Raw genomic sequence first — 10,385 nt, 5'->3', positions numbered from 1 at the left:
GTAAGTTAACAGGTAGTTTTAAATAACTAGATATAGTCTTTTCCTCTTCCATGTAAGCCAAGATAATATTTCCACTTCTCCTTCTGAACATGTGAGTACAGTTTATATATAAATCAACAGCAAGATGGAAATTTACTCTGAGCTTTGTGATGTTTTCACTTTAAGATGCTGTAGTTCTGATCCTTTATACATTTATTTCATTTTCCCCATCTCAACCCCAGTATATAGCAACACTCACCTGCTCTAGAACATGATTATCAACTGTTTCAGCTATCAATGTAACATTAAAAAAAAAGTTCTATGTTCAAAGACTAAAGGAACCCAGGTAGTTTCTTTTAAACAGAAAGACTAGTTTTCATGATCATAAACATGTAAAGAAATATGTCATTTTTGAAATTTCATGAATCTTATGTCTATACCGATTCCAATTCCAAACTCAGACTGGCAATCTGCCTTTATTATTGCAAAGCCCCATAGCTTGTTATCTTCATGTACCTCTTGATCAAGTATTTAAGTGAAATAAAGAGTCTAAATGTTACGGGAGGTGAGTCCAGGCAGGGTCTACGGCCCTCAGTTTTTGTCTTCCTGGAAGAAAAAAATTCAGCTGAGAGACAGATGTAGATTTCAGACAGAAGCAAAAGTTTATTGAAGCAAAGTACATTTGGAAGGGACCAAGTGGGCAACTGGAAAGATTGAGTGTCCCGCCTGATTATTGGCTCAGGACTCTTATAAAGTTACTATTTCCTGATTCTTCCTGATCTCCTCCCATCATACTTCCTTTTGGGCCAGCTGTTGGCTAATCGCCGCGTGCTCAGTGACTTGCCAGTAATCTGGGAGGGGCTGCATGCGCCATTTGGTGGTTGTAGTTATGCACATGTACTCTTTGGGCAATTTTCCTTTACTGGTCTAGTGCCCCCAGAGGAAGGTCATATACCAGTCAAACTTTGCCATTTTGCCCCTTACTGTGCATGCCTGCTCAATTCCTAGGGTTTTATCGCAAAGTTGTTGCCTACAAGCTTAAGATGTTTCCTGTTAGGAAATTTCCCCCTCCCTGGTGCCAGCCATGACCATCTATCATTCCTGAAGAGGCCACCTGACAGTCACAATGACAGTCATTTGACTGTCTCCTGACATTCCTTGGGGCCCTATCCTGCCCTGCTCATATCCACCTATCTACCTACCCTAACATATTCCCCCCTCAAGAGTGTGAGACTCAATTATTTGGGGCTAGTGGATGAAGGTCAGTCCTCTGTGGCTGCTTCCTGCTGAAATAAGGGCTGTATTTGTCCTCTGGGTCTCAATCTCTTGCTAATTGTCAGAACAGAATGGTCCCATCGGTAGGTAGAATTGGTGTCCAGCCAGGTCCAGGGGAAACAGGTGTATGTTTTCTTCACATTTGGGTAGGGAGGTAGATATTCCTGTATTGCAGAATTTCTGCTCCTCAGTTCAGCTAAATCCAGGTTCTGTGTCACGACCAGGAAAAGTTAGGCATGCAGACACGTGGAAGGGTGAGGGGAATGGAATTTATTATTTATTGGGCGAAAAGGAAAACAAGAAAAGAAAAACTTTCAGCAAAGTGAGAGGGGTTTCTGCCAGCAGGCTCCCATCTCACAGATTGGATTCCAAGCCCCCACACACGAGCTAAAGTTCCCAGGCTCTTTCCCCCCAACAAGGCATGAACTTCCTGGTAGCTTTACCCCATCGTCGCAGTGCACAGGCGGGCGGGAGATTCTCCAGGGATCCTCCCTCTTATCTGCCTCCTGCATCTATCACCTGCATTATTGGGAACTTGGTTTGAAATTGTTATATCCTGGAGAAGACAAATTTATCTAGTAGGTTAAAAGGCAGGGGCCAAAAAGAAGTAGACGTATGGAGACAGCTGGTTCGAGCAGGGGAGGAACCATGTGAGCAATGGGAGAGCAGATTTTACAGAGTTCCAGATGGAATCTGCTGAGGGATTTTCTTTCCCAGAGTCATGAAGCCACTTAGCGTGGTCACAGATTCTCTTTATATGTTCCTCTACTTGCCCACTATTGTTGACACAAGTGCAATAGGGTTTATTGATGACAGCACAGACGACTCTGTTCTGCAAGGAGGTAATCTAGAGCTAGTCTGTTGTCCATGACTGCATTAGCTACTGAATTCAGTGAAGCCTTGAGTTTAGAGATTCTGTTCCCAGTTCTCTGACCTAGGTCTCCAATTTGTGTAGAGAGGTTTTGGAGGGTGACTTTATGATAACTGAATCCTCTGTATGGGGCAGCTAATCCTATGGCAGCCCCTAGCCCTACCATTATAAGGCCAAGAGCTCTCCTTTTTTAAGAATTTGTAATGTTATAGATGGTTACACCTGTTCCTTGTGGCCCCAGGAGTCCTAGGGCACATCCCCTGTATGTTGGGTGTTATCTATGCAGATAAAAAGGTTTACAAGTGAGGGGGTTGAATAAGTTCTTTTAGAACTTCCCTCACAGGGCAGTTTATTTTGTTTAGGTCCATATAAAAATACATAGCCTGGAGGGGTGTAGGCCCACTCGGGAATGTTGGTTTTGAACCAAGTGTAAGCATAAGCAATCCCACCATGAATAAGATCCAGAGTACTGGGGCTACCTTATGCTGAGCTAGCATTAGTTTGAAAGAAAAGAAGGCATTACTTATAATTTCATTGAAAGAGATATTATAGATCTTCCAATGACTCACAGGAATACTCAGGTGCTGGTCCTATTGTTGATTGTTCAGAAGCCTCTCAAGGTTTTATTTAGGAATGATGTATCCAACTAGAGGTGCCAGGAACTTTGATAGCTGTTGCAGTGGAAAGGAAAACAGTAAAAGGGCCTTTCCATGAGGGGATTAGTTGAGATTTTGTAGATCCATCACTTTAGGTTTTAATAAGGACCTGGGTGGGTACACAAGTTGGTTGTTAGAGGGTCTGGAGCCAGCAGTACTCTCTGTATATATATTTGGTTCTAGGTATGAAATTCTCTGTCTTGGATTTGGATACTTTGTACCTTACATTTTGCTAGGAAGGTTAAGGTTTGTACTGCATATTGTTGTGCAAGCTTTATGGAGGGGGAGCAGATGAGTAAGCCATCTACATACAGCAGAAGTTGTCCCCACTCAAGATATAGCTTGGTTAGATTTCTTTGCTGGGTCTTGTCCAAATAAGTGTGGGGCATCTCTAAAACCCTGAGGTAGGACTGCTGGCTTTCCTGGGAGAAACTGGGATATTAGGGGGAAATATCAGTCCAGATGTTGGGTAAATATTAAGTGGATACCCATTTTGGAAAGTATATTCCTACTCAAAAGCAGTGTGAGGCATTTAGACATTGCCAGGGACTAGTGGGAGAATAGTAATTAGTCCCATAAGCAATATAAATAAAGGGGATGTGAATCTTTAGAGGAAGGGGTTGCTACTTGCTCCTGTTACCCAACAGAATTTGGGGGTAAGTTGCCTAGAGAAAAAGGTTAGCACAAAGTAGGCAGTTCTTGTATTTAAAAGGATATTTATAGCACTACCTGTCATTTCCAGAGTTTCCCTTGGCTCTGTTCCTTTAATGATGATGTCTGATTTGGAAGCTGGCCAGAGTGGAGGGCCCCTTCAGCTCAAGGCCATTATTGGATGGGGGTTCAACTGGGGGACCTTTTGGATCCCAGGGCAGTCCCTCTTCCAGTGGGACTTATCTCCAGCTTATCACAAAGAGGGCAGGCTGTGTGGGGCTTCCTCCCATTTGGCCCATTTGGAAAATTCCTTCTCCAGTAGCCTGGTCTTCTGCATCAGTGGCAGTTACCTGGAGGAGGGTCCTTAGGAGACCCTGGAGGGGGCTGGTGGGCTTGTAAAGCAGCCAATAGTTGAGCCTGCATCTTGTCCCTGCATTTCTCCTTTTCCTTAGCCCTGTCCTCCTTGTCCAGATCTCAGTTATAAAAGACTGAGGAGGCTAATTTGAGGATTTGTGGCATAGGGGCACTGGGTTCTAAGGCTGACTTTTGTAAATTTTCCTAATGTCTGGAGCAGCTTGGGTAAATTGTCCTTTAGGACTAGTCCCTCAGGAGATTCTGGGTTTAAGTTTGGTGTGCTTAATAAGTTTCCTGTAGACTTTTCAGAAAGGCTATAGGATTTCCATTTGGCCCCTGGTTTATGGTGGCTAATTATTGTAGTTTAGAGGCTTGATCTTACTTCATTTTATTACCTCTATTAGACACAAGAGCCTATGGTTCCTGGCCCATATTCCCGCTTTGGCATTGTAGTCCTGATTGGGGTCCAGCTGGGGAACAGCTGTAGCCCCTCCAGGGTAGTTGGCATTTTCCAGGTGTAAGTCATTTCGACAGTGGATTGCTGCTCCGCAGATGGTCTGTCTTTCCTCTTGTAAAAGGGCTTGTCCCAGGAGTACATTTATGTCCTTCCAAATTAATCTAAATGTAAGAGCCAATTTGGGGAAGCCCTCTATGAGCCTTTTGGGGTCATCTGAGAACTTTTTTAGGTTTTTCCTAAGTTGTCAAAAGTCGTACATGGAAAAGGGGATCTGGACCTGGACGAGTTCAGTTGGCTCACTTACCTCCTACAAGCTTGGAGAGGAGAACTAAGGAGCCCGGTGTAAAGTGGGGCCAATTCCAAAGGTCTGGGAGTGGGATAAATAGGGGGAGGATCCAGGGGTGGCTGTTTCTCCCTCTTTCACCTCCAAAGGAGGAGGTAGTTTTTCCTTTTGGCTTCTGGAGGAAGAAATGTTGGAGAGGAATCAGCAGAGGAGTCTCCAGGGCCGATGCAGGGCCCTGGAGGAGATGGCTAAGCATAGCTAGGATGTGAGGTTTGCCTTACAAGCTTTACGAGGATTAGGGTCTTCCCTTTAGGCCATAAAGGTTTGTAAATAGGGGACCTCTGGCTTTTTGCCCTGATAATGGCAGAAAAGGTCTAGCCGGAGAATGGTATTAAAATTTGTACTTCCATTCTCTAGCCAGACTTCCTCTGCAATGAAAAATTAGTTTTTTCATTTTAGGGTTTGGTGGTTGGATTTATCGCAGATTTTAAGGATGCATCCAAGGGGTCAGTCCCAGAGTATGGAGACACCGTTATCTATCTGCAAGACAGAACAGGGAAGAGTAAGGAAGAGGAAAGAGTCCCTTCTTCTTCATCTTTTTTCTTTTTCTGTTTTTTTTTTTTTTTTTTTTTTTTTTTGAGACAGAGTCTCTCTCTGTTGCTCAGCTGGAGTGCAGTGGTGCAATCTCAGCTCATTGCAACCTCTACTTCCTGGGTTCAAGTGATGCTTGTGCCTCAGCCTTCCGAGGAGCTGGGACTACAGATGCATACCACCAAGCCCAGCTAATTTTTGTATTTTTAGTAGAGACGGGGTTTTGTCCTGAACTCAGGTGATCCACCCGCCTTGGCCTCATAAAGTGCTGGAATTATAAGCATGAGCCACCACGCCCAGCTGAAAGCATTCCTTCCTGATCCCCTTATACCTTGGATCAGAGTAGTGAGTAGGGCATCCCCCATTCATCCTGGAGTTCTGGAATAAACCAGTGATTACCAGGTACCACTAACCCTGGTCCCACATTTCCCTCCAGGACCAGCCTTCATCTCTCTGCTAATGGTAATCTGTCCTGCACCTGTGGCCTCTGGCTGACCTGTACCTTTGACACTGTGATCTTACAGTGACCTTTGTTTGGAGCATTCCAGCAATGAAATGGTTTTCCTTTCTCTCAAATTCCCATTCTCCATATCCCTTTAGGTAGGTGAGGATCTTATCCCTAGCCAGCAGCTGTAAGGGAACTGGGCCTTCCTTTCTCTGGACATAGCACTGTAGGTCCCAGTATATGTTAAGAATGTAGATGGTCAGAGGAACAGAGGAAAACCTGCATCTGAGTCCCCTTGTCATCCCTCCTGTGGATTCCTGGGGAAGCATGGAAAACAAGTATTTAAAATGACAGGACAATCCATCTGCCACCCGTGGGAATGGTAGAAAATAAGGGATATTCATGGAAGGCTGCTTTTGTACAGTCTCACAAACAGCAGCCCTTAGACCTAAGAGGACATTGCCTATCAGTCTTCTCAGTGTAGAGGAAGAACTGTCAGGGCCAGGGAGTTTGGGATGAGAGACCACAAAAGGCAGAGAAAGAATTGTCCTCTCCCCAAAGTGCAGATAGCTCTAGAAAGGAAGTAGGAGTTGCTCTTAATGGACCACATACAGATGCCCTATGGAGACAAACAAATGACCTCAAGAGCCACTGGAAAACCTGGTCTCAATGTGTAGCAGGATTTAAAAATTCATGATAGGAAATAAAGAATTGGTGGAGACAGAGTCTTCCCAATATTAAGCAGAGAAAGAAGTTGCATGATATGCAGAATAGAAGCAGGGAAGAGGTTGACTTGCCCCCAAGACAGACAGTGTGGCCAGCATATAAGGCCATCTCAAAGTCCACAGAAAAAAAGGAAGCATAATAGGGTGTAGACTTATTGGGGAAAAGTCCACTTTGGTTAAGGAAATGAAGGTCTCCAGTCTTTGAATGGCCTAGGCTCAAGCCCTATCACCCTTGTGAGCCACCTGTCCAAAAGGGCCACAGTGACTTAGGTCTACTCAGTACAGACTCTGAAGTCCTCCACCTCTGCTGTCGCCCACCAGGATGAACTGAGGAATCTGCTAGAGGGAAGAGTGACCAAAGAGAATTTTTCTGGAGATGGGCTGGTGAGTGAGACAGCAAGAGAAAGAAGACCTCACGTAAGCAGAGTTGGGTGCCTCCAGCCAAAGATGGCAAGGCACAGAGGGTCTTACCGAGAAGCTGCAATCTGATTCATGACACCAAAATGTTACTGGCAGCGGGTTTGGGCAGGATACACAGTCTTTGGTTCTTATTGTCTGAGAAGAAAAAATACATCCAAGAGACAGAAGTAGATTTAAGATGGCAGACAGGAGGCAGGACTAGATTGCAGCTCTGGACAGAGCAGCATGTGGAGGCTCGCATTGTGAATTATAGCTCCAGATTGACTGCAAGAACAAACCAGCAACCTTGAGAGGACCCACACACCCTCTGAAGGAAGCAGACTGCTCTTGCAGGACCTGGGAAACACCCCAAATACTGTGAGTACCCCAACTGTGGAAGTGGGAAAGGGAGACCCTCCTCTCCTGAACACACACCCCCACTGGAGAAGCTGAAGGTCTGTTTGCAAGAGAAGTTTCTGACTTTACCTGGAGCTGAGTCAATGTGGAGAGCTGAGTGAAATACAGAGGCAAAGAAAGTAGCAGAAAGGCCCTGGAAGCTCTCTGAGTCCCCTAGCAGGCCATCCATGCCTGGCATCACAGGGATCCATCCAGAGGGCAGCCAGAGCCAGAGGTGCAAGGGGTAAAACTCTACAGGGAGAAGAAAATCTCTAGCTGAAGTTTGTAACAATTTGAATGGGGTGAGAAGCCTCCTGGCCAGAACTCAGGGGAGGGCACACATCTGGCGTGCAGACTCCACAGGTGGAGTAGAACCAATCCCTTTCATTCACAGCTGGGAGGTGGGTAGCCTGGGGCAGATTTTCAAGCTCATCTTGCCCTCCAACTGAAAATGGACTCAGGCTGTTAGAGGGTGGGAGACACAGTGAGAGTGAGACTAGCCATTTGGTTTGGGTTTGCGTGGAAGCAGAGTGAGGCCTGTGACTGCTGGCTTTCCCCCACTTCCCTGACAACCTGCATGACTCAGCAGAGGAAGCCATAATCCTCCTAGGTGCACAACTCCAGTGACCTGGGAATCTCACCCCCATCCCCCATAGCAGCCCTAGCAAGACTCACCCAAGGAGAGTCTGAGCTCAGACACACCTAGCCTTGCCCCCACCTGATGGTCCTTCCCTATCTACCCTGGGAGTGGAAGACAAAGGGCATATAATCTTGGGAGTTCTAGGGTTCCTCCCCATACTACCACAGCTGATGCTCTCTGGAAGGCAACACCTCCTGGCAGGAGACCAGCCAGCACAAAAATAGAGCATTAAACCACGAAAGCTAAGAACCCCCACAGAGCCCATTGCGCCCCCCAACCCCTACCCCCTGCACCAGAACAGGCACTGGTAACCTATAAAGGAAAATCTGTGAGATTAACAGCAGATTTCTCAGCAGAAAGCCTACAAGCTAGAAGGGACTGGGGCCCTATCTTCAGCCTCCTCAAACAAAACAATTATCAGCCAAGAATTTTGTACCCAGTGAAATTAAGCATCATATATGAAGGAAAGATACAGTCTTTTTCAGAAAAACAAATGCTGAGAAAATTTGCCATTACCAAGCCACCACTACAAGAACTGCTAGAAGGAGCTCTAAATCTTGAAACAAATCCTGGAAACACAACAAAACAGAACCTCTTTTTTTTTTAAATTATTATTATTATACTTTAAGTTTTAGGGTACATGTGCCATGCCGGTGTGCTGCACCCATTAACTCGTCATTTAGCATTAGGTATATCTCCTAATGCTATCCCTCCCCCTTCCCCCCACCCCACAACAGTCCCCAGAGTGTGATGTTCCCCTTCCTGTGTCCATGTGTTCTCATTGTTCAATTCCCACCTATGAGTGAGAACATGCGGTGTTTGGTTTTTTGTTCTTGCGATAGTTTACTGAGAATGATGATTTCCAATTTCATCCATGTCCCTACAAAGGACATGAACTCATCATTTTTTATGGCTGCATAGCTTTCCATGGTGTATATGTGCCACATTTTCTTAATCCAGTCTATCATTGTTGGACATTTGGATTGGTTCCAAGTCTTTGCTATTGTGAATAGTGCCGCAATAAACATACGTGTGCATGTGTCTTTATAGCAGCATGATTTATAGTCCTTTGGGTATATACCCGGTAATGGGATGGCTGGGTCAAATGGTATTTCTAGTTCTAGATCCCTGAGGAATCGCCACACTGACTTCCACAATGGTTGAACTAGTTGACAGTCCCACCAACAGTGTAAAAGTATTCCTATTTCTCCACATCCTCTCCAGCACCTGTTGTTTCCTGACTTTTGAATGATTGCCATTCTAACTGATGTGAGATGGTATCTCATTGTGGTTTTGATTTGCATTTCTCTGATGGCCAGTGATGGTGAGCATTTTTTCATGTGTTTTTTGGCTGCATAAATGTCTTCTTTTGAGAAGTGTCTGTTCATATCCTTCGCCCACTTTCTGATGGGGTTGTTTGTTTTTTTCTTGTGAATTTGTTTGAGTTCATTGTAGATTCTGGATGTTAGCCCTTTGTCAGATGAGTAGGTTGCGAAAATTTTCTCCCATTTTGTAGGTTGCCTGTTCACTCTGATGGTAGTTTCTTTTGCTGTGCAGAAGCTCTTTAGTTTAATTAGATCCCATTTATCAATTTTGGCTTTTGTTGCCATTGCTTTTGGTGTTTTAGACGTGAAGTCCTTGCCCATGCCTGTGTCCTGAATGGTAATGCCTGGGTTTTCTTCTAGGGTTTTTATGGTTTTAGGTCTAACATGTAAGTCTTTAATCCATCTTGAATTAATTTTTGTATAAGGTGTAAGGAAGGGATCCAGTTTCAGCTTTCTAAATATGGCTAGCCAGTTTTCCCAGAACCGTTTATTAAATAGGGAATCCTTTCCCCATTGCTTGTTTTTCTCAGGTTTGTCAAAGATCAGATAGTTGTAGATATGCGGCATTATTTCTGAGGGCTCTGTTCTGTTCCATTGATCTATATCTCTGTTTTGGTACCAGTACCATGCTGTTTTGGTTACTGTAGCCTTGTAGTATAGTTTGAAGTCAGGTAGCGTGATGCCTCCAGCTTTGTTCTTTTGGCTTAGGTTTGACTTGGTGATGCAGGCTCTTTTTTGGTTCCATATGAACTTTAAAGTAGTTTTTTCCAATTCTGTGAAGAAAGTCATGGGTAGCTTGATGGGGATGGCATTGAATCTTTAAATTACCTTGGGCAATACGGCCATTTTCACGATATTGATTCTTCCTACCCATGAGCATGGAATGTTCTTCCATTTGTTTGTATCCTCTTTTATTTCATTGAGCAGTGGTTTGCAGTTCTCCTTGAAGAAGTCCTTCATGTTGCTTGTAAGTTGGATTCATAGGTATTTTATTCTCTTTGAAGCAATTGTGAATGGGAGTTTACTGATGATTTGGCTCTCTGTTTGTCTGTTATTGGTGTATAAGAATGCTTGTGATTTTTGCACAGAACCTCTTTAAAGCGTAAATCACAAAGGACCTGTAAAACAAAAATACAAGCTAAAAAGCGAAAACAAAACAAAACAAAAGTATACAGGCAACAAAGAGCATGATGAATGCAATGGTACCTCACATTTCGATACTGACATTGAATGTAAATGGCCTAAATGCTCCACTTAAAAGATGCAGAACTGCAGAATGGATAAGAACTCACCAACCAACTATCTGCTGCCTTCAGGAGACTCACCTAACACATAAGG

General features: G+C 44.4%; 1 protein-coding gene across 28 annotated transcripts in view; it reads left to right on the top strand.

The window, feature by feature from the left end:
• Positions 1–10,385, top strand: part of PDE4D (phosphodiesterase 4D) — a 1,553,091-nt gene that overhangs the window by 1,205,465 nt on the left and 337,241 nt on the right. The window lies entirely within an intron of this gene.

The sequence above is a fragment of the Homo sapiens genome, chromosome 5 (assembly GCF_000001405.40).
Source record: "Homo sapiens chromosome 5, GRCh38.p14 Primary Assembly".
Classification (NCBI taxonomy): domain Eukaryota; kingdom Metazoa; phylum Chordata; class Mammalia; order Primates; family Hominidae; genus Homo; species Homo sapiens.
The sequence above is the reverse complement of the archived record's forward strand: the minus strand, read 5'-3'. Positions and strand labels throughout refer to the sequence as shown.